Source organism: Homo sapiens, chromosome 7 (assembly GCF_000001405.40).
Source record: "Homo sapiens chromosome 7, GRCh38.p14 Primary Assembly".
Taxonomy (NCBI): domain Eukaryota; kingdom Metazoa; phylum Chordata; class Mammalia; order Primates; family Hominidae; genus Homo; species Homo sapiens.
Genome location: NC_000007.14, coordinates 122,480,926 through 122,506,779, shown reverse-complemented (window position 1 = coordinate 122,506,779; position 25,854 = coordinate 122,480,926). Strand labels below are relative to the sequence as shown.

The following is a 25,854-nucleotide window of genomic DNA, read 5'->3' as shown; positions in this document are numbered from 1 at the left end:
TTCATGATTAAATTCAGCTCTGGTGTAGTTTGTTTGTTTTTTTTTTTTTTTTAAATAACTCTAGCAGCACCTTTGGCCTCTGCCAAGAACATTTCCAGCTAGGGATTTTTAAAGCCTTAATCTTCACTGAAATTAGATGGTGGCAGTTGCTAAGCTGCCAGCTGTTAACATCCCTGCAGTAGGAATACGACATACAAACCTGAATGCTGTGGTCTCTAGAATCCCATAGTTAGCACTTAACATGTGTGGACACAGACAGGTATTGCACAGGTTGGCAATTGAGGACAAAATGGGAGGTTTCGTATACCAGATGCAGATACCTTGTGGTACTACAGCAACTTAGGTGCCCTATCAAAAGCAGTGATGCTGAAACCTGATTTAATTCTGTCCCCAGATTAAAGTCTGTTCATATCTCCCAATTCTCAACAAATCCATTCTTTACAGAGTTATTAAGAGTGGATTGGGTAAAAGATATTGAATGTTTCTCATTGCTGTGCTTCCACTGAAGGGATTTTCGATTTCAATTTAGTAAATTATATAAGCTTTGTTCAGAAATACACAAGTAGGCTCGTAAATGAAAACAAATACCGGATCAGAATAGGTCAAACCACCTGTTGTCTATCTAATTCCCTGGCAAGTGGTGACGAGGCAGAGTAGAGGCTGCAAGACTGCCTCTAAGTGGGAGCACAGGGAGCAGGGTGACCCTGCTAATCTTTCAGCAGCATATTTTAACTATTAGTGCCAACTGATACAGGTCTGAGTACAATTTCTCCAGATTACCCGTGAACTGGTAACTGGCTAGTAAACCAGCAGCTACAGGTGTTAGTACTATTCAGGAACACCTGAATTTACCCTGTGGGTTTGTTCTAGGTCTGGCCTTGGGAATGTGATTTATTATTACCTTGCAAAGGGGATGGATAAAAGTAAGATCTCTTGGGATATTAAAGGAACTAAAAGAAGGATGAAATATGGCAACATTTTATGGAAACAGAACCAGGAATCAGTGAGCCCAAAAGATAGCATTAATAGGTTGCAGCTTCTGGAGTTGATGTATTCGAAACGCCAGATTGCACCTTTTTCAGTTGTCTCATGGCTCACATTTCCTAATTGTCAGTGACAGCTCTGTTAGTTGTTGGTATTTTATTACTCTTCCATCTGTACTCTTTGTTATATCTCTAGGCCCAATTATCTATGACAGAGTCTAGGTCTGTTGGATGATATTTTAGATATTAAACAAAATATTTAAGAAGTTAAAAGCTAAAAGCAAATGTTTCAATACTTTGCCATTTAAGTGACCATGCCTCTAGAAATGGAGTGATTCCTCTAAACCTGAAGTTTTTGACTTCTTGATTTTTGTTGTTGTACCTTCAGACTTGTTAAATTGGTACTTAAAATTTTATATCTCTAGCATTTTTTAAAAAATAATTGTCTCATTTAAAGCTAGCTAGAGATACAATACTTATAGCATAAAACAGCAACTTCAAGTTGTACTTCAGGTTATGTGAAGAAAAATGCACATTAATGTAAGCATTTCACCTCACATGTCTTTTGACAACTAATTTATAAGGCTAGCTCTTAAATAGCAGGTAAATTTTTGGCATTTTGGGTGGGTTACACACATCAAGTCTGTACTCTTTAACACATGACAATATGAACATGTTAATTATATAAAGAGCTTTTGGAAGTAATCAACATTTGGTTTTTAAGAAAGCAATAATTTTTAAAAGACATTATAATGTATAATTAAGATAATGTCCATTAGAAATAGACAAATTTAGTATCTAAAACTACATTTAGGTGTATTAGCACTTTTCCTCACTTTCTCAGTTTCTTATAAATTTACGTATTCTTCCACCAAACATCTTCATCAACACAGCCACTGTGTTCTTTCTTTGCTGATAAAAGTTGTGAAAACGGACTGGGCATGGTGATGATACCTATAATCCCAGCTACTCCAGAAACTGAGATTGCTTGAGGCCAGGAGTTTGAGAGCTTGAGACCAGTCTGAACAACGTAGTGAGACCCCATGTCTGTATTATTTTTTAATTAACTGGGCACAGTGGCATGCACCTGTAGTCCCAGTTACTTGGGAGGCTGAGGTGGGAGGATCACTTGAGACCAGGAATTCGAGGTTACAGTGAGCTATCATCGCACCACTGCACTCCAGCCTAGGTGACAGAGTGAGATCCTGTCTCTAAAAATAAAAGAAACATGCCCTGAGAGTGGGAAGAAAGGTAGGGGTGGGGAAAGCCAAGTGAGGCCAGGAGACAGAAGTCAGAAACATGGAGTGTCAGCAGCCCTCAGCTCATTCACAGTGTGGAAGCATGTGGTTTGAAGAGAGTTCAATCCCCAAGTCAATCAGGTGCTGACTATACTGCGTTATAGTAACACCTGTGTCCTGTACCCAACATGAAACAATTCTTCTAAGACTCAAAAAGAATAAAGTGAGAGGAGGGTGGTGGCTCCCTGACAACTGAATTAGATTCACGGGGAGACCACTGTGTAACAGGCATGCATTGTGCTAGGTACTCCCACATCAGTTCTCTCCAATTCTCTCAAAATCCTGTAAGGTCTATTATTGTTTTTCTTATATTACAGAAAAATTAAATGAGATATATAAGACTTAAAATGATTTTTCTAAAGCCTTGTCAAAAATAAGTATGAAAGAATAAGGATAAGTAAGTAATTGAGGGGAGAAAATGAAAGTGGAATTTGCATTTGACATAGCAGATTGATCTGTTAAACCTGGTTTATCTTCCCTTCACTTCCAGTTGAAATACCTTAATATGGTTGTCTTCAGAGAGGCCTTTCTGACCACACTATTGAAAATAGAATGCTTTTAATGTCTCTTTCCTCTGCTTTGTTTTCCTGCAAAACAATTCATCACCCAAATTATTTTCAGTACCTCCTAATTGCAATTCATTTATCTCCTCCATTCTCACTCTATGAGATGGCTTTTTTTCCCAATTCTGAGGCACTGTTGTGTACCCAAAGCCTGGAAAAATTCACTGTAGATGCATGATAAATATTTGGTGAATGAATAAGTGCACGGATGAATGAATGAGAGGGAGGAAAAAAGTACTTATAAGAACATAAGGGGAGATACAGAGGTTATAAATACACAAGAAACTAAATTCAGTAACTTACTATTTTGTTTAGTATGACTAATCCACAGATCTCAAAAGACATCAAGAAAGGAGTATATCTCTGTAAAAGACAACATAGGAAAGAGCAATCATATTAGTATTAAACTATTTTGCCAATGTGTCCCTTAAAATAATTTTATACAACTGTGCATCCTCCTAAGTCTTTCATCATGAGTTTAAATAGTTGCAGTAGATACTAGTTTCTAAGATAAAAACCACTAAATCATTCAGTAACGTGTTCAATAGAATCTAAATACTTTTGTGATTTTATATCTACTTGCAATCATTGAAAATTGTATTGGCCGTGCACAGTGGCTCACACCTGTAATCCCAGCATTTTGGGAGGCCGAGGCGAGCAGATCACAAGGTCAGGAGTTCAAGACCAGCCTGGCCAGCATGGCGAAACCCCATCTCTACTAAAAATACAAAAATTAGCCAGCCAGGTGTGGTGGCACGTGCCTGTAATCCCAGCTACTCCTGAGACTGAGGCAGGAGAATCGCTTGAACCCAGGAGGCAGAGGTTACAGTGAGCCGAGATAGTGCCACTGCACTCCAGCCTGGGCGACAGAGCGAGACCCCGTCTCAAAAAAAAAAAAAAAAAAAGTTTTTTTCTCCTTGAAGTCTTATTTCTATTGTGCTTTCCCAGCAAGATATTCTTATGAAATAAGTGTTATGGCTGAAAATCTTGGTCACTCTGTCATGCTTCTCTACAATTAAAAAAATCTATAAAATTGGACTTAATAAAAAGTTTCTATAACCAAAAAGCTCAAAAAAAGAAAAAAATACAGTTCACATTGCTGAACATATTTAAAGGAGAATTCCTGACATTTGAGAGATAAATGAGTATGATCTCAGACATGTGAAACTTAAGATGTAGAAGAATTAGAATAATAATGAAATAAACGCATATGGTTTATTTTATTCTTGTAAAATATTTTGGCGGCTCAATTAAACATGAAAAATTATTCCTGAGATAGGTTATAGAAATATAATTAAGTAATTATTACAAAATGTGAATCCTAACCTCTAGATTTTGTCAAAATAATGAATGGAACAATAAAACAGGTTCTAGTCCTCATGTTATATACAGCCAGTGAAAAAATTATTTTGTTTTTCAATAAATAGAGAAAATATGGGTTATGTCTTTAAAACTTTTAAAGAAACTATTATAGTATAAAAATTAAATGCTAAGAAAACTTTAATTACCAAATAATAGAAGATAAAGAGGAAAAAAAAGCAAGACAAAATATATTAGTTCTTATTATAAATAAGTTAAATGGACCTGTTAACAGTCAGCTTCTCAGAATGAAAAAACTAAAGGGATGACAATATTAATTTCAGACCTAGTTAGTGAAATTTAAGAGAAAAATTATTAAATACCTCCAAAGATTACAATTTTATGTTAAGGATATTAACAATTACTATAAAACAAATGATGGTGATTTATTGAACACATACCTGAGAAAAGAGAATAAAAGCGTACTACCTTGAATTATTTGCTATTCAATTCACTTTTCTCTTTCTCCAACACCTTTAGTGATTTTTGATCATGGACTCAGTGCTATCTGAAATAATAACTTTGCCAGAAATTAAGAGGTAATTGGCTTGCTATTCGGGAATACAGTTGTTTTTAAGTTTCAGAATGAGAATGTATAAAATAATATGATATATTGGAAAGAATATCCATTGAACTACAGAGAGTTGTGTTCTAGACTCAAGGTGACTTTTTTTTTCCTTTTTTTTTTTTTTTTTTTTTTTTGAGACGGAGTCTTGCCTTGTTGCCCAGGCTGGAGTGCAGTGGTGCGATCTCAGCTCACTGCAACCTCTACCTCCCAGGTTCAAGTGATTCTCCTGCCTCAGCCTCCCGAGTAGCTGGGACTACAGGCGTGTGCCACCACGCCTGGCTAATTTTTTGTATTTTTAGTAGAGATGGGGTTTCACTACCGTCTCTACGGTACATTTTCTACGGTGTTAGCCAGGATGGTCTCGATCTCCTGATCTCGTGATCTGCCTGCCTCGGCCTCCCAAAGTGCTGGGATTACAGGCATGTACCACCATGCCTGGCCAAGGTGACCCTTTTTATCTGGGTGACCTTGGAAAGTTACTTCCCTCATCCATGAAAGCTGGAGTTTAGACCTCAATCTCAAAGGCCCAGACCTTGTCTCTCAATGCTAGTGTGAGAGAATTACTTAGAGTATAATATTTCATTTTCTTTTCAGTGAAGCTTGGTTCTTTATTTAACTACTTATGATTTAGTGAGTTTTGAATCCTCTAAAAATCATAGTTTTAAATTTCCAAATGTAATATCTTCAAATCCTTGCTACATAATCAAAATCTATAATTCTATCATATGTAATAATGTTTTTTTTGTTTTGTTTTTGAGACAGAGTTCACTCTGTCACCCAGACTAGAGTGCAGTGGTGCCAACATGACTCACTGCCACCTTGAATCCCTGGACTTAAGTGATCCTCCCACCTTATCCTCCCAAGTAGCTGGGACTACAGGCATATGCCATCATGCCTAGCTGATTTTTAAAGTTTTTAAAAGATGGGGGTCTCGTTTAGTTGCCTACGCTAGTCTTGAACTCCTAGCCTCAAGTGATCATCTCACCTCAGCCTCCCAAAGTGCTGGGATTCCAGGTACAAGCCACTGTGCCTGGCCTAGATTTAGAATTAAATTATACATTTTATTATGTTCCATTACAATTCCAAAAACACCACTTTTTCCTGACTAGTTTTCAGTTCACAATACCTTCCAATATTTTTGCTTTACCTTTTTCTCCAAGTACTAATATATAAAATATAAAAATATCTTGCCACTTACATAAGTCAGATATTTTTGTGAAGGTAAGAGTGTCTTTGTAATGGGAATAATAACTCCCTAATTAGTTGTTTCCTAAGTTATTGTTTTTGATTCTTTGTTAATTTTGTTTGTTTCCAAATTTCCTTGGTATTTTGATGGCTTTCTTATAACTATGGTCACATCATAGCTATCTGTGTATCCTGAAAGGGTAAGCCTGGTTTCTCCATGGCTCTGACATCTGTGTCCGTAACATAATGGGGTGCCTACTTGCATGAGGGGATGTTTACTGTTTCTTGAGTGTTTTCAGTGGAGTGTATGACATTTAAAAATCAAATGTCATTTGTTATGGTAAGTGGAAGAGGATACATTTAAGAGTACAAGTTGAGTTATGTGTGCTGTTAAACTGTTAGTTTTTTTTTAAGACGATAAATATGTGGCTTATACTTTCAAAAATAGTACATTTTCAAATATGGCAGAATATTTACTGAATTGAAATAAATTTCGTGCCAAAATACAGAAGCAGTGACTCTGTGCCACACACTGTGGAAGCCATTTTATACGTATTATGAAGACACTGAGTCAGAAACAAAAAAATGACAAACAAGGTTAGAATGGTAAAGGGGACAAATTTGTTAAAAACTTGGAAAAAGGAGTAGGGTTTTATTAGATTGAGAAATATATAGAAATGGAATTTTAAACATAAAGGTGATATTTTTCTGCTTGGCAGTTCAGGTGAAGAACTGAATTAAAGTGGGTGAGTCTTGCTGGATGGTCCGTCTGGAGTACTTTACACAGCGGTAGCTATAGATTGCAGCTAGTCATTGATGGAAATGTTTGTGAGCCAGGCAGGGAAGGCAGACCTTCCCATGCCCTTCATCTCTCTCCCAGCAGGTTCCAGATTGTTCATGTGGTGATGTGTCAGGTGACTTTTTTTAGTCAGGTTTTTAAGATTCTTCCAAATAAGAGAAGAAGATGAGAAACTTATGAATTAGCTGCCCAATATATTTTCTATTATTTCAATAGTTGATGATAAAAGTATTACTTTGTAGAGGTCCCCTGGTGTTGAATAATTATAACTTAAGGATACATAAGACACATTTCACACAGTGTGTTTACTTGCATACCCTAACCCCATCGTCATAGTTTCTTCTTTTCTTTTCTGAAATGTAGTGAAAAGGACTTACACAGTTTTTCTCATACATATAAAAGTTAGACTTGCTATTTGGAAAGTTCATAAAGCAAAATTAAAGGATTGATCAAAAGATTTAAATTGGTAGTTTTGGCTAGTCTTAAAGGTAATATTAAGAATTCCTTTTTGGCCAATACCTAGAAATGCCGAATAAAATATAGTGCCCATGTTTTTAAATACGTAGGTCAAGTGAAGGAAAAAAAAGAAAAACTTTAGAGACCACAAACACCTAGAATGGTTATGATTGTGAGTTGACATTGTGGCTACAATAGTGCTGGAGTTTGAAATTAGTGGATGTTGATGTTGTTAGGTAGGCACTTGAGATTTTATTGCTCATGCAGAGAAAGAAGATGTACCATGAGGTATTCTTAAAGTGGGTATTTGGAACAGAGATCTTATAAAGAACTTAAAAGAACTAGATCTCTGTGAAATGATGGGCTAGAAAAAAAATCTGCCCTTGGGCAATTAATCTTGTGTTTGAGCTGAAGCTCTGAATATGCAGGAAAATTAACCCTCAGAATTTTTAACTGTTAGCTTGTACTTAAAGAATGTCAAAGTCCCAGTTTATTTTATTAAATATAAGGGAAATACCTAAGCTAGGAAATTAACATAAAAAGCAATCCTGGATTGGTGATGACCATGGAGCAGCTGGCATTTTTAAAAATTGCTTTTTATTGGAAGGTGAGCCCTTAAGCTAGGCTTTGTAGGATATCCAGAGATAACACTGTGTTTATTATTAGCTCACAATCTAAAATTACAAAACTAAATTGATCATTTACACCACTAAGAATTTCAGCAATACAGCTCTCACATACATAAATTATAAAATAATTTTATTTAAGGTGATGAAATTTATAAGCAGGTTCAAAAATATAATAAAAAACAATAACAAAAAAGAAAATAACAGTATGCAAAGTGAACCAGCAGATTTGGAAAAGGATCATATAGAACTTCCAAAACTTCAAAACACAGTCACTAAAATTAGAACCTCCATAGACAGGGTAAGCAATAGGTTAGACACATCTGAAGAGAAAATTTGTCATGTAATTAATGATGGAATATTGGTTAGAATCTGAGGAAGCTGCCTAGAACTCAAAATGAAGAGGTGAAAAAAATATACATAAAGAAATTAAAAGATATGGAGGAAAGAAAGCTTCAAGATTATTTCTGATAGGATTTGAATAAAGGCATTAAATAAAGGAAAAATGTGACAGAGGCAACATTTAAACAGATAATGGGAAGATTTTTAAATTGATATAGTCATGAATTATCAGATATAAGAAATACAATAAGTATTAACCATAACTCTTTAACTCCTAGAAATTTCATGATGAAAGTGCAAAATGACAAAGATTAAGAGAACATGTAAGAACAATCATAAAGAAGAGGCAAATAGGCTGAGTATGGTGGCTCACACCTGTAATCTCAGCACTTTGCAAGGCCAAGGTGGGCAGATCACTTGAGGTCAGGAGTTTGAGACCAGCCTAGCCAACGTGGTGAACCCCCGTCTCTATTAAAAATACAAAAATTAGCCAGGCCTGGTGGCAAATGCCTGTAATCCCAGCTACTTGGGAAGCTGAGGCACAAGAATGGCTTGAGGAGGAGGTTGCAGTGAGCCGAGTTCGTGCCACTGCCTTCCAACCTGGGCCACCAAGTGAGATGTCTCAAAAAAAAGCAAATTACAAGAGGAGAACTGCAGTTGAACTTTCATAAGTCTTTTCCACATGGATGTATAAGCCTTCTGACAATGGAATATCTTCAAAATTACTGATAGGATTGCTGGGCTAAAACACTATGTAAGTAACTAAACCATTACGCCTGAGTAAGAACAAATTAAAGACATATTTTCAAATATTCAGATATTTCAAAAGGATATATTTTCAAATTAAAGGAAGAAAGAAATTGAACACAGAATGACAGAGTGCGAGTCAAGAAGCAGTCATCAGCAAGAAAATGAGTAAACCCAAGGGCAAATATAAATAAATATTGACTTGTTAAGATCATATACTTTAATAATGAATTTCTATTACTAAATGCTAATATACTAAACATTACTAAAATAAGGTAGAACTAATATAATGAGGACTGAGTTAACAGATGGGAATGGGTAATGGAAGTAAAGCACTCAAAGTTTCCTGGATTCAGGAGGAGACTTAAAAACAAGATTTAAGGAATCAGTGAGAGAAAAGAAATATATAGTTTCTATACTGTTGAGGAAATAGGGAGATTTTGTTAATGTTTAATAGAGACAGGGAATGAAAGAAAAAGAGGCATGGCAAATACAAAGGGCAAGATAAGATAATAGAAATAAATCCAAATATATCAGCATGTACAGCAAATATAGCTTGTCTTTAAAATAAATCTTGTTAGAAGACTAGATTTTCAGGGCTTTAAAAACCCCAGTTGTTGTTCATAGAGATCTAAAATATAACACAGAATAATTGAGACTGAAGAGATTTTTTTTTAAATTTACCAGATGCATACTAAACAAAAGAAAGATTGTATAGTTTTGTGACTGTACAAGAAGATAGACTTCAAGGCAAAAAGCAGTATCAGATTTTTAAAATACTCACTGCATAAATACAAATAGAACAAGTTACCAGAAAGACAGAACAGTCCGAGAAAGAAGTAACAATCCCAGGTATATATATGAGATTATTTCTTTAAAATATATAGACATTTAAGAGAATTGCATGAAGAATCCACAGAGAGATAATCTTGATGGGAAATTTTAACATTTCTCAATACTTTTACATCAGAAAAGAATATCAGATATAGAATATTTGACAATTAGTAAATTTGACCTAATGGACGTGAATAATCACTGAATAATAATTACAAGACATGCACTCTTTTTAAGCAAACAAAACACTGATTAAAAAACTAGTCATGTGTTAAGCAGAACATGTCTCAAAAATACTAAGATTCAGAATTATTCTGATAACAATGAAATTAATTTAAAAACCAAAAATAGAACCACAAAGCCAAACTTAAAAACATACTTCTAAGTAGCTCCAACATAAAAAACAAATCATAAAAATGAAAAATATTTGGAACAGAACTCATAAAAATGCTACTTGTGAGATGAGGCTAATATGAACTTAGAATAAACATAAATGCATATATTAAAAATGAATTAAAAATGAATAAGCTAATTATATGAGTTTAAAAAAACAATCAAGGCCAGGCGTGGTGACTCATGCCATAATCCCAGCATTTTGGGAGGCCAAGGCAGGTGGATTACTGGAAGTCAGGACTTGAAGACCAGCCTGGCCAACATGGTGAAACCTCATCTATACTAAAAACAGAAACAGTTAGCCAGATACGGTAGCGCACACCTGTGATCCCAGCTACTCAGGAAGCTGAGGCAGGAGTATTGACTGAACCCAGGAGGTGGAGGTTGCAGTGAGCTGAGATTGTGCAGCTGTACTCCAGCCTGGGCTACAGAGCAAGACTCTGTCTCAATAAATAAATAAATAAATAAAGAGATAAATATCCCAAATGAAGAGATAAGAAAGATGGCAGAAATTAAGGAAATGAAAAACAACAGAGAGGATTAACAAAATGCAATAACATTTCTCGAAAACATTAAAAAGGTGAATAAATCTCTGGCAAAATTGATTGTGGAAAATGGTATAAAATGGCTAAATGATACATTCAAAAATGAGGAAATTATTTCATCAGGAAGGAAGACAAAACCCCCAAGTGACTAATAAACAGAAGAGAATATTCTTAGTCCTATTGGTAATAAGAATTGTAAACTCAAATAATAGTGAAATACCACTTCCCACCCATCAAAGTTGGCAAAAAATAAAAAGATTTAAAATACCAAGCTTGGTAAAGATGTATTAATATTATATCTGGAGTGCTCATATACCACAGGTATATATAGTATGTACAAATTGGAAAGCAGCTAGGCAACATTCAGTAAAGATGAAGATCTGTGCACCCAACAACCTAGCAGTTCCACTCCTTGAAGTGGTACTAGAGAAGCTGTCACATATGTGAGCAAGAAGACAAGACGTACAAGAATGTCCATCATGGCATTGTTTGTAAGGACAAGTGAAAAAAAGTGAAGGACATCACTAGGATAGTGGTTAAAGTGTGACAATTCAAGTAACAATATTTATATCAAGATGGTTAAGCATCAGAAGCATTGAACTTTTGGGGAAGAAAGTTGCAGAATAATATGTATGATATATTCATATGAAGTTTGGAAACATGCAAAAAGTACTTGATGTTTATCGATTTTCTTGTATGTGGTACACATTTCAAAACGTCATGGAAATAATATAATAAACAGAAAAGTCATCATGGTGTTTATCTCTGAGAAGAGAAAGGAAATTGTCTTGGGTGAGTATGTATAGGCATTAATTGAATCTGTCCTTTTTTAAAAAAGACACTTTAAAGCATATGTATCTCTAAGAAATTACCATTCAACAAAGCCGAATGATGAATATATACATGTTAGTGTATTATTGTACTTTTCTTTATGTTGGAGATATTTCATAATATTTTAAGATAATGCTGTGTAAAATAGCTTTATGAAAGAATAGGGGAACTTTGAACTAAGTTATTTTTCTAGAGTAAGAGAAAGGACTTCTTTTTAGAACAAATACAGTTGGACCGTTATTGTTTACCTCTCAACACCCCCACCTCCAACCCCTTAACCCTTACCCCCAAAAACACCCACACAATTATACCTTTTAACACAAGGAAACTGAAACCTTTAAGTGATTACCAAAAAATAAAAAAAAAAAACCCTTATGGGAGCAACTGACTTTCATTTGTAAACCTTAGACATATGCAAGGGAAAAAGTAAATTTGACTGTCTGTAAGATGAGGAAAGACACAAGGAAAATTTAGTGTAGCAAGAACCACAAGTATCACAAGATACTGGCCTCAATCTCTCCCATTAAGGCTTAATGTTTTTATTCTTCAAAATAGAAATAACTTTATTCTTTTTTCTGATTTAAAATAATGTATATTCTTTTAAAAAACTCAACACTATAAAATAAAATAACCTATCATTTCACCATCCTGTAATAATCACTGTAAATATTTTAATATATATTTTAATTCATATATATATATAATGTTTACCCACAGAATCACAGTCTACATTTTTGCTTTTAAATTGCTCTTTATGTTATATCTTAGAAATGTTATATCTTAGGTTCCCATGTTAAGAAAAAAATCTGTCACGTCTCTTTTAATGTCTCATAGTATTATCCTATATAGTCATGCCATAATATATTTTAACCAAACCGCTTATATGCAATACTGCAGTGAACACAATGCATATACATCTTTGAGTACTTCTCCATTTGTTTCCTTGAGATACGTTCCTTGCTAGACCAAAGGAATGCATAAAAAATAGTCAGCCTTTTGCTACTGTATCAGTAAGAGTTCTCCAGAAAGGCCAGCAGGCTGGAACTCCTGCAGAAGCTGGTGCTGCCTCAGCAGAAGCTGAGGGAAAATGTCTTCTTTTTCAGAAAACCTTAGTTTTTGCTCTTAGGGCCTTCAGCTGCTTATATGAGACCCACCCACATATCGACGATAATCTCCTTTACTTAAAGTCAACTGATTGTAGATGTTCACCATTTCTACGAAGTACTTTCCCAGCCACATTTAAATTAGCGTTTGATTAAATAACTGGATACTATAGCCTAGTCATGTTAACACGTTAAAAAAGTGAATAAACCTCTGACAAAATTGATTATAGAGAAGGGTACAAATGATGAAATGATATATTAGAAAAACAGCAAACTATTTGATTAGGAAACTCACAGAAAAGAAAACTTCAAATGTTTATCGAATATAACGGAAAATTCTCAGTCCTATTGTGATAGGAATTGTAAACTCAAATAACAGTGAAAGTATTTCCCACTCATCAAAATTGGCAAAAAAAAAAAAAAAAAAGATTAAACATAACCACGCTTGGCAAAAATGTGTTACATCTTTGTACCTATGTACTGTGATGTACGTAAAACGTAAGTATATCATAGAACCTGTTGCCAGATTGCCTTCCAGAAAGTCCACACCAGTTTTCATTCTGTCACCCACACTGTGTACTAGTAACCATTTTCATTTTTGCTTATCTAATCAGCATTTTTTCTAATGAAATGTTATCTTTGTGTTAATTTTCAGTTTTAAATCCACAATTTGTCATGCAACTTAGCAGTCTCTAACATGGTAATTTTCACAATGACCTGCGCCTTTTACTTTGTAGAAGAGCAGAGAGGAGCAGAGAAAAGAGCTCCTCTTTTCTCAGAACAGAAAATATATTTTCTCCTTTTAAAAGTTACAATGTTGATCCCTGCATCTTACACCTGTCACTTCCTCAAACCTCTCTTTTTGGCCTCAGGTACAGAGAGTGGATGTGAAAATAAAAAAGAGTAGTCATCTTTTGCCCGTTTTTCCAACATGTGTTCTGAGTTTTCCCTGTTGATTTATAGTTCTTTATATTTCTGGTGTGAGTTATTGATTGAATATATGTTTTGCATGCATCTTCTCTTAGTCTGTTGCTTTGCCTTTTTTACTTTCTTCATGATACCCTTTAAATGAAGAGAATACCTTGATTTTAATGTAGCCCATATTTTCTCTGTCTTTCATAATTAGTTTATTTTGGGGTCCTATTGAAGTAATCACTGTCTATTGAAAGGTACTATGTTTCCTTAGTTTCATTTTATGTTTAAAAACAGAAAAAGGAAATAATTAACATTAACCAAGCCCAGGTAACAGACAGAGACCTTTTCTCTATAAATATTTTTTAAAAATTGGCTGGGCATGGTAGATGTGCCTGTGGTCCAGCTATTCAGGAGGCTGAGTGGGAGGATCACTGGATCACCAAAGGTGGAGGCTGCAATGAGCCATAATCGTGCCACTGTCCTCCAGCCTGGGTGACGATGTGAGAACCTGTCTCAAAAAAGAAAAAAAGAAAAAAAATACACTAACCAAACTATCTTCCATGGACCCTGTGTTGCAGGATATTTTGCAATTTAGATGTATATCCACCAAACAGCCTTTTCTCCTGCTGGGAACAGAACCTCCCTCTATCTCTGTTGGGGGACTTTGGAAAGAGCCTGCCTGTTGTAGCATCTGACGTCTTTGCTGCATACATGAGCTCTTGACCCAAACTGGGCTAATGAAACATTCCCCATTTACAGTATTTTGTTCAAATATGGCCTTGTGATCCAAGCAGACACACTCAGGGAGGTGACTTCAGAGCAGCTATGGTTCTAGTAAGACTTTAGCACAAGGAAATGAGGCCAATTCCAAAAGACAAGAAGAATTAAGAGGCAGACCAGATCTTGGCAATGTTGTCACTGGCTGCCCAAAATTTACTCCATCCTGGCCCTGCCTGAGGTTTTCATTATGTGGCCACTAAATTCTCAACTTTTAGTGAGATTTATTTTAATTTAATTTAATTAATTAATTAATTTATTTATTTATTCATTTATTTATTTTTGAGATGGAGTCTCGCTCTGTCGTCCAGGCTGGGGTGCAATGGCGCGATCTCGTCTCACTACAACCTCAGCCTCCCAGGTTCAAGCAATTCTTCTACCTCAGCCTCCAGAGTTGCTGGGACTACTGGTGTGTGCCACCACGCCTGGCTAATTTTTTGTATTTTTAATAGAGATGGGGTTTCACCGTGTTAGACACGATGGTCTCGATTTCCTGACCTCGTGATCTGCCCGCCTCAGCATCCCAAAGTGCTGGGATTACAGGCGTGAGATCTTTTTTTACTTTGTTAAAAGTCTTGATATAAGTATGCTTGAAAATGTGGTCCCATGTTTATGTAAATCTAGGACTACTCCTAATCTTACTCTTAGAGATTTATAGCCTACGTTAGCATATTAAAAGCTGTAAGAAACCATGAAGTGAAAGAAGGCTATTTATCTTCTTAATAGGCTAATGATCCCAAACGTATCAACATGAATACTTATTTATGGTGCTTCTATTAATATAGAAGCTTGAGCACCAAATCATTGTCTTGGGGAATGCTGGATCATAGGCATAGAAGACCCAACAAATGCAAGCTGACAAACGAAAGGTGCTTGAATCTCTGAGCTAGGTTTTGAAAAATGCTAAAATTTAATAATTTATGTGCAAATTATGTTATATTTTTAATTGGGAAAAGAGTATTTTGATAAAAAAACGAAAGTTAAATTTGGTAAATTTAATGTGACTAATCTGTAAACTTTTTTTTTCTCGAGCAGGTTAGCCAATATACCTTTGCTATGTGCAGTTATAGAGAAAAGAAGTCTGAACCACAAGAATTAATGCAGCTTGAAGGCTATACTGTGGATTATACCGATCCCCACCCAGGTAAATCTTAATTGAATCACTTTTCCTGCCATGTATGTATGCATGGAATTCTTATAAATATCCTTTGTCTGTTCTACAATTTAAACCCCTCTCGATGAATAGGGTGCATATTTCACTTATATACCTGGGCAAGACTTTATGAGATTCAAATTATCTCTTTTGGAGGGCTTGTATTTTTAGCCATATTTCATCATATTTGTTATTATTTTAGCGCAGGATTGAAATGTGTAAAATTCACTGTAATGGAATAATTAGGTGAGATATTACAATGTTTTCAGAAACTTCTTTGCGGGAAAGCAAAAGTTATAGCAGAAATAGGCAAAGAAATGGCAAATGAATTATTATATTATAACTACTAATTTTCTCCCCAACAATACATGCTTGTACTTCTCTCTCTCCCTTCATATTAATACTGGAAAGAGTATTGGACACCTGATATTTAAAAAATTGAATGAATGAATATTAATGACATTAATATCTAAGATCAAGAAATGTAGACATTAATAAACATAATGATTAAATATTGGTGAATAGAGATTAAGAAATAGAAATTTATGACTATATTAACTAATTGTTCACTTAAAATGCAAAATATTATGTGAAAGAATTTTATAAAAGATAAAATACATGCAATATGAAATATCATTTTTGTCTTAATCATTATATATTTTTCCCATGTATAGAATGGCAACTATGCCAACAGATAAAACTTCTTTCTCTGGCATGAAATATCAGATTGTGCTATGCATTTCCATGGAGTGTGTTTATATGTCTTGTAGAATGATACTCTGTCATGGACTGTTTCCCTAGGTTATTTTTTATTTCTGAGGTAATATGGGAGCTTAACCCTTTTTGTTATTGTTTTTCTTCAAATCTTTGATTGTGGATTTGATCCTTTAAACTAAATATTCTTTAAAACATTTAACTGCTAATATCAAAGCCATTCTTTTCCATGAGGTCAGTTAGTGAATGAGACGAAAATCTGCCAATCCTATAAATTTTTAATGATGTCTTTTTGTTTCCTCCACAGGCCTTCAGGGTGGTTGTATGTTCTTTAATGCTGTTAAAGAAGGAGATACTGTAATCTTTGCCAGTGATGATGAACAGGACAGAATATTATGGGTTCAAGCCATGTATAGGGCCACAGGTCAATCATATAAACCAGTTCCTGCAATTCAAACCCAGAAACTGAATCCTAAAGGAGGAACTCTCCATGCAGATGCTCAGCTTTGTAAGTTTTGTTAAAAAATAATTTGATTATCAATTAATAGCCTTAATAAGATATAAAATTGAGGCAAATGTATTCAGTATTATAGTTTACATCATTAATTGATTCCTAATTAAATGAAAATAGTTCATATTAGTAGTCACATAATCACTTATCTAATTTTTCACATAAATCTGGAGTAAATGGTACGTGTGGTTTCCAATCATGGATTTGTCAAGCATTAGGGTATTTCTAGAAATCTCAAGAGCACATAAGAAAATTCTCCAAAACTTCTCAAAGGAAAATTTAATTTAGTTTATTGTGATTTTTGACTTAAGTCTCCTATAGATATGGAAAAAGTATTGCAAAATCAAATTTGCTTTGATAGGATTTCAGAATACCAAAATGATGAACCATTACCTTCTAGAATTGTTCTTAATACCCCAGAAGGATAATAGGTCTATTTTTTTGTTGTAGATTGATAAAAATAATAAGTCATAAAGCCAACTTTTTTCCCCTTGTACCTTAAAGACATGTCACTTTTTGAATGCTACCTTAAGTTGTTAAGAACTAAATTTTTAATTTTAAATGACTGATGCTTAATAATTATGGAATAATGGTCAAAACATCTTCAAACCTAGCTTTGATAATCACTAAACCAAGTGTTTTAACTTGTTGTACTCCTTTACAAAGCTTATCCTGTTTTACCTGTAATAAATATTTGTCTTTAACTTTCAGCTCAACTTGTGGCTTTTTATTCTTGAGATTCTTCTCAAAGGGAATAACATCTTGACATGCATTATTTTCTTCTGCTTTTCATGCATCAAGTAACTATTCTCTTCTCTTTTTAGATACCCTTCAGTATCATTTCTGGGCATCCTAAACAAAGGCACTTTAGTTCAAATAATTAAATGTGAACCATGAGCTTTTTATTTCTTTATTTTAGAAACCACAGACCATACTCATAGATTATCGTAATTATTTTGGGGCATATCTTTTATATGTAGTGAAAACTATTTAGGAATATTATAAATTTTTTCATTGATTTAAAATTTCTTCTTTAAAATTAGTAGCATTGTCATCTTAAAAGGTAAAATAAAATAAAAAGAGCACATTCTGATGTTTTCACTGTATTTGAAAATTTAACTCGCTGCTGCTGCCTTCCTCTCACCCTCTGGGTAATACACATAGAGTATGGCACAGCAGATAAGAGTGTTTCATCAGAGCTAAGGTGTACAGAAGTGTAACTTTATTTTTCTACAATTGAACATATCTTAAATTTTAATTTCTAATGTTGCCAAAAAACTTTAACTCGCTAATTCAAAACAACTGAGTCACAGATTATAATTCAATTAATTCAAGATTCTTCCCCCTACTCTTCTTCCATGTGATCCATAGTAAATTAAGTTTCAGAGGGATTGCATAAAACTGTGATATCATTGAATGTAACATCTAGCCTAAGACTATTCTCTGTTCACATGGGCTTAGGCATGACTTCTGTCATTGATTTCATTACTTATGTGCTGGTATGCACTGCTCGTCACCATGGACCTGCCAGGGCACCTGGCAATGAAGTCCATGTAGTCTGTGTCCTCCTTGGATCAACTCCAGACACCTATGAATTCCTTACATCATTTTCATCAGATTCTTGCCACAGTGGTACATAGTAACTTGTTGGGTATTCCCCAGCTATGCACAGGGGTGCTCACTCAGGCGTTTCTCTTGCAGCACAGCTCTTATCCACTGCTTCTTTCCTACTTCAAGTGCCAAATTGGGTATTTATCCCTGGACTGTGCCTGCATTGGGCATCAAAGTATAAGACTCCCTCAACCCCGGGTAGAACTTTTTTCCTCTGGAGCTCTGTTCATTGCTCACCCCCAGCACAACATTAACTCAAGTCAAATCTCTTCCCAAAACCATTTTCTTCCATCCAGCTGATCTATTTTTTTCCCTCCGAGTTTTGATTCTTGTTGTTGAAAACCAAGTTTTTATAAATTTGTTTCTTACCTCTCCATAGGCCAGTCTCTGTCCCTTCCCCTATAAGCTACAGTTCTACAGCATTTAATGTGAATTTCCTGTGTTTTTCATTTTGCAAATTTGCATTTTGTATGTGTGCATTTAGCGTCAATCTCATAAATGGTTTTGTATTCTTTGTCATATTCAGTCTTACTGTTTTTGTTCATCTCTATGTTTTTAAAATTTATCCATGTTTTTATGAATACATCTAATCTCATTCTTCTGATTACTGCATACCATGTAAGTGGGCTTCTGTCTTATGTTACCTGGTCTACTGCACATTTTATTTCTATTCACTCCTCCAGAGATGGAAACATAGAATGCCTCCAGATCCATACCTGTGTAATGTTCAGTTGTCCCAGCCATGACTATGAAATATCCTTTCATTTATTCAAATCTGAGTCCTTTACATTTTAATAATTTTCCATAGAGCTCTTTTTATTCTTGGTTAAGCTAATTTCTAAGCCTTTCATACTTTCCTTGCTATTGCATCTTATATTTTTTATTATATTTTCTAATTGACTATTGCTCATATAGAGAAATGCTATTTTCATGTGCTTTTTTGCTATCCATATTTATTCTTTGGTTATGTATCTCTGCACATACCTTGCCTAATTTGTAATTAGGCTATTTTCTTATTGGGTTTTGAGAGGTCTTTATACAGGCATACCTAGGAGATATTGTGGGTTCAGTTCCAGACCACTGCAATAAGATGAATATCTCAATAAAGTGAGTCACACAAATTCTTTGGTTTCCCAGTGTGTATAAAAGTTATGTTTGGCCGGCGCAGTGGCTCAAGCCTGTAATCCTAGCACTTTGGGAGGTCGAGGTGGGGGGGATCTCTTCAGTTCAGGAGTTCGAGACCAGACTGGGCAACATGATGAAACCCTGTATCTACAAAAAATGCAAAATTAGCTGAGCATGGTGGTACGTGGCTGTAGTCCCAGCACTTGGGAGGCTTGAAGTAGGAGAACTGCTTGAACCCGAGGGGTGGAGGTTGCAGTGAAATAGCGCCACTGCACTCCAGCCTGGGCGATAGAGTGAAACCCTGTCTCAAAAAAAAAAAAAAAAAAAAAAGTTATGTTTATACTACACTGTAGTGTATTAAGCATGCACTAGCATCATGTCTAAAACATAATTTTAAAATTCTTTATTGCTAAAAATAATCACCTGAGACTTCAGTGATTATAGTATTTTTGCTGGTAGAGGGTCTTGCCTCAACATTGATGGCTGCTGACCGATCAGGTTGCTGGTTGTTGAAGGTTGGTGTGGATGTGGCAATTTCTTAAAATAAGACAAGGATGAAGTTTGCTGCAGTGACTGATTCTTTCACGAAAGATTTTCTGGTAGCATGTGATGCTGTTTGCTATCATTTTGCCCAAAGTAGAACTTCTTTGAAAATTGGAGTCAATCCTCTAAAACTTTACCTCTGCTTTACGAACTAAGTTTATGTAATATCCTAAATCATTTGTTGTCCTTTCAACAATGTTCACAGCATCTTCACCAGAAGTAGATTCCATCTCAAAAATCACTTTCTTTGCTTCACCCAAAGGAACCAACTTCTTATCTGTTCAAGTTTTATCATGAGATTGCAGCAATTCAGTCACATCTTCAGGCTGCACTTTTAATTCTGGTTCTTTTGCTATTTTCATGACATCTGCAGTGACTTCCTCCACTCAAGTCTTCAATCCCTTAAAGTTATCCCTGAGGGTTGGAATCAACTTCCTCCAAACTCCTGTAAATGTTGATATTTTTACCTCCGCCCAAGAATCACAAATGTTCTTAATGGCATTTGGAATGATGAATCCTTTCCAGGTTTTCAATTTACTTTTCCCAGATGTCTCATAGGAATTACTATGTATGGCAGCTATAGCCTTATAAAATGTATTTCTTAAATAATAAGACTTGAAAGTTGAAATTACTCCTTGATCTGTGGGCTGCAGAATGGATGTTGGGTTAGCAAGCATGAAAACAACATTAATCTCCTTGTACATCTCCAGCAGAGCTCTTGAGCAACTAGATGCTATGTCAGTGAGCAATAATGCTTCCAACAGATTCTTTTGTTCTAGCATCAGGCCTCAGCAGTGGACTTAAAATATTCAGTAAACTATGCTGTAAACAGATGCACCATCATCTGGGCTTGTTCTTTCAGTTATAGAGCACAGAACAGGGTTGATGTAGCATAGTTTTTAAGGGCTCTGGGATTTTCAAAATGGTTAATAAACATTGGCTTCAACTTAAAGTCACCAGCTGCATTAGCCACTAACAAGAGAGCCTGTACTCTGAAGCTTTGAAGCCAAGCATTGACTTCTCTCTAACTGCGAAAGTCCTGGATGGCATCTTCTTCCAATAGAAGATTATTTTGTCTACACTAAAAATCTGTTATTTAGCATAGCTAACTTCATCAATGATCTTAGCTGGATCTTTTGGATAACTTATTGCCATTTCTGCATCAACCCTTGCTGTTTCACCTTGTACTTTTATGTAATAGAGATGGCTTCTTTTCCTTAACCCTAATGAGCTGACCTCTGCTGGCTTCACAGTTTGCAGAGGCTTCTTCACCTCTCTCAGCTGTCATAGAATCGAAGAAAGGCAGGGCCTTGCTCTGGATTAGGCTTTGGTTTAAGGGAATATTGTGGCTGGTTTGATCTATCCAGACCATTCAAACTTTCTTCATATCAGCAATAAGGCTGTTTTGCTTTCTTATTATTTGTGTGTTCACTGGAGTAGCAACTTTAATTTACTGCAACAACTTTTCCTTTGCATTCACAACTTAGCTACTTGGTGCAAAAGGCCTCGCTTTCAGCCTATCTTGGCTTTTGACATGCCTTGCTCACTAAGCATGATCATTTGTAGCTTTTAATTTAAAGTGAGGGAGATGGGATTCTTTCATTCATTTGAACACTTAGAGATCATTTCAGGTTGTTAGTTAGCCTAATTTTAATATTGTTGTGTGTCAGGAAATAGGGAGGCCCAAGAAAAGGGAGAGAGATGGGGAACAGTCAGAACACATATAACATTTATTAAGTTTACCATCTTATATGGGTGTAGTTTGTGGCACCCCAAAACAATTACAATAATATCAAAGATCACTTTCCACAGATGACCGTGATAGATCTACTAATAATGAAAAAGTTGGAAATACTGTGAGAATTACCATAACATGAAACAGTCATGATATGAGCACGTCATGATATGAGCACGTGTTGTTAAAAAAGTGACACCATGGACTTGCTTGACACAGGGTTGCCACGAACTTTCAATTTATGAAAAACACATCTGCAAAGCACAATAAAATGAAGTTTCCCTGTGTGTTCTGGATACAAGATGTTTGTCAGATACGTGATTTGCAAATATTTTCTCCTAATCTATGGCTTGTCTTTTCACATCTCTTAATAGTGACTTTCAGAAAAAAAAAAAAAGAAATTCTTAATTTTGATGAAGTCCATTTTATCAATTTTTTTCATAGTTGTGCTTTTGATGTTATAACTAAAGGATCTTTGCCTAACCCAAATTGCAAACATTTTCTCCTTTGCTTTCTTCTAGAAATTTTACAATTTTGGCGTTTACATTTTACAACCATTTTCAGTTAATTTTTATATATGGTGAGAGGTATCCATCAGTATTTCTGGATGGCATATGGATGTCCAGTTGTTCTAACACAAAGAGTTGAAGAGATTATCGTACCCTGAATTGCCCTTGCATATTTGTGAAAAATCAATTAACTACATATGAGTTTATTTCTGGGCTATCCTTTCTTTGGTCAGTTTATCTATCTTAATATTATTACCACACTGTCTTGATTACTGTAGCTTGGTAAATCTTACAGTTAGGTAGTCCAAGTCCTCCAAATTGATTTCTCTTATTCAAAAGTATTTTGGCTATTCTATGTCCTTTGCATTTCTCTATGAATTTTTAAAATAAGTTTATTCACTTTTAATTGACAAATAATTGTTTATATATATGGGGTACAATGTAAATTTTTAAAACATCTTGACATTCCTTGCTGGAGATTTTACTGGGAATGCCTTCAATCTATAGGTCAGTCCTTGGAAAATTTTGGAAAACTGACTTCTTAATATTGAGTCTTCCAATCTGTGAATACCATGTATCACTTCATTTGTTTAGGTAGTCTTTAGTTTCTCTTTGGGATGTTTGTAGTTTTCAGTGAACAGATCTAGCACATCTTTTGTCAGATTTATTTCTAGGTATTTCATCTTTGTTGCTTTAGTAAATGGAATTTTTTATTTCAGTCCAATTGTTTTGTTATCTTTGTGATTGCTTTAGAATTTAAAGTATACCCTTTAAATTTATTATATATCTTCATGTATAGTATGCACACTTTACAATAGTAAACTTCTATTTCTCCTCTCTTGGCTTTTGCACTATTCTTGTCATATATTTTACTTCTATATATGTGGTAAATCCCACAATACATTGCTATTATGATTATTGCCTTAGTCAATATCTTTTAAATAAATTAAAAGTGAAAGAAAAATGTTATGTACATGTCCATTTTGTACATGTCCATTATGTACATGTTATGTACATGTACATTACCATTTCCAGTGCCTTTCATCATCTAATATAGATATTTTCACTTCTTGGAGGACCTCCTTTGACTTTTCTTGTAGTGCAGATCTGCTGGTAATGAATACTTTTAGCTTCTTTATATACGAAAAAAAGTATTTATTTTACCCTCATTTTGAAGATATTTTTCTTTTAGTACTTTAAGGTGTTGCTCCACTTTCTTCTAGCTTGCATTTGTTTTTCCAATGAGAAATGTGCTGCTATTTTGGTTTTTTCCTCTATAAATAATGTCCTTTTTTCCTCTAGCTGCTTTAAAGATTTTTCTCTTTAACACTGTTTTTGAGCAATTTGATTATGATGTGCCTTGGTATAGTTTTCTTCATAAAAATGCTTGTTCTGAGACACAGTTAAGTTACTTGGAAACAATTCAATCCTCTCAAGCTTTGCTTTCAAGTTTTGTTAGGGAAGACCAAGCAGTGTTTAGTCCAGGATGCATTTTCCCCATTTCTGGACCAACATCTTTCTTAATACTCTAACTGATAACCTGTGAATTATGAGCTTTTATATTCTTGCTGCTGAAAAGCAGTGCTATTCTAGGCTGTGTGAGTTTGGGGCACTGTCCTCTCGAATCCTTTAGATTGCTTCTTTCCCTTTCTACACATGCATGAGCTGATGGGTAGTCAGCTGAATTCTTGGGGGAGGCCTTCTGTAGATCTTGAGAGTCTCTTGCTGGGCAGCTCTCTTCTCTCCAGTACTCTTTCCTACAAACTCTAGTTACTATCACCCTTCTGAACTGTCAGTTCCATCTTTTGAACTCAGGGAGACCACTGGGCTTTTCCTGGGTTCCTGTTGCTTGTGCCATGGGCTATAGAGTTTCTCCTGGCAGTAACCTGGAGTGACTGTAAGGCTCACCTTGTTTCCCGTCCCTCAGGAATCACGTTGCCCAACGTGCAGCGTTTAATAAACTTTTTGTAAATTTTTTTAGAATACTTAATTCAGGTAGGAGGTTAAGTTTATTCTCAATTATGCCATCATGACCAGAAGCAGAATTTTTTGTAAGTTAAAGCATGGTTTCTCAATTTCAACACTATTGACATTTTGGGCTAGATAATTATTTGTTTTGGGGCAGGGAGTGGAGTAAGGAACTTTTCCTGTGCGTTATGTAATGTTTTACAGCACCCCTGTCCTCTACCCACTAGGTATCAATAGTCTCCCACCTGGTCCCAGGTCAGACAACCAAAAATATCTCTGGACATTGCCAAATGTCCCAGAGGGTAGGGTTGCGGTTGGTGAGGAATCACCCCCAGTTGAGAACCACAGAATTACAGTGACTTAATAACTATTTTTTTTTAATCGCCATCCTCCTTCACTTGTGTTCCCATATTTTTTCTTAACATCCTGAGTGCAAGGAATGCCCGAGGAATGTGTTGAGCTCGTGGCTATTGTTGCTTGCACATAATGGCAAGAAAAGCAGGTAGGAACCACTAGCATAGAACTTTAAGACTGTGGCTGAATAATACAGAATTTTTTTAGACAGAGTCTGCCTCTGGAGAGAGAGGAAGTGCAGTGGTGCCATCTCGCCTCACTGAACCTCTGCCTCCCAGGTTCAAGCCATTCTCGTGCCTCAGCCTCCCAAGTAGCCTCCCAAGTAATCTCAGCAGCCGGGATTACAGGTGTGTGCCACCACACCCACCTAATTTTTGTATTTTTAGTAGAGACAGAGTTTCTCCATGTTGGCCAGGCTAGTCTCAAACTCCTGACCTCAGGTGATCTGCCAGCCTTGGCCTGCCAAAGTGCTGGGATTACAGGCATGAGCCACTGCACCTGCCTGTAACAAATAATAACAAAACCTTTCTATTATTCGATATCAATTTATTGTCAAGGCAGGACTGATCAGGCTATGGGATTCCCATGCCTCAGCCTCCCAAGTAGCTGGGATTACAGGTGTATGCTACCACACCTGCCTAATTTTTGTCTTTTTAATAGAGATGGGGTTTCTCCACGTTGGCCAGGCTGGTCTTGAACTCCTGACCTCAGGTTATCTGCCCACCTCAGCTCCCGAAGTGCTGGGATTACAGGCATGAGCCACAGCGCCCAGCCCTATCATCTGTTTCTAACAAAACCTTTCTGTTATTTGATATCAATTTATTGTCAAGGCAGAATTGATCAGGCTATGAGAACTGAATTTACTTGTTATAACTAAAAAGGGAAACTGTTTCAATTTGTTAACAACAACTGACTTGTATTCCAGGCTGCTAGTAAAGTTTTAAATCAGGGCAGACCTCTGCTGACGTGAACCTGGGAGGCAGAGCTTGCAGTGAGCCACGTTCGCACCACTGCACTCCAGCCTGGGCAACAGAGCAAGACTCCGTCAAAAAAAAAAAAAAAAAAAAAAAGAATGAAGAAAGAAAATGTTCTACCTCATCAGAATGAGGGTAGTGACCCTGAACTATCAGAGAAATGCCATGAATTCCTCCAGAGTTCCTCCAGAGAGTAGTTTCATCCATAGTATTTTCCTCCCTCCATTGACTTACATAATCAATTTTTGTTTTCTTTCCTGATGGTCTTTTAGAAAAACAACTTTTAAAATCATGAGTAGAAATTGAGAAAATAAAAAATTAAATGTCTAGTTG

General features: G+C 35.6%; 1 protein-coding gene across 29 annotated transcripts in view; it reads left to right on the top strand.

Moving 5' to 3' along the window:
• The window catches only part of CADPS2 (calcium dependent secretion activator 2), a 568,050-nt gene that overhangs the window by 379,681 nt on the left and 162,515 nt on the right, over positions 1–25,854 (top strand). For all 29 annotated transcript variants that reach the window (NM_001363398.2, NM_001009571.4, XM_047421032.1 and 26 more), the window contains 2 exons: positions 15,360–15,468; positions 16,499–16,699. In NM_001363398.2, coding sequence (NP_001350327.1) covers positions 15,360–15,468; positions 16,499–16,699 — 310 coding nt within the window. The remainder of the gene's footprint in view (positions 1–15,359; positions 15,469–16,498; positions 16,700–25,854) is intronic.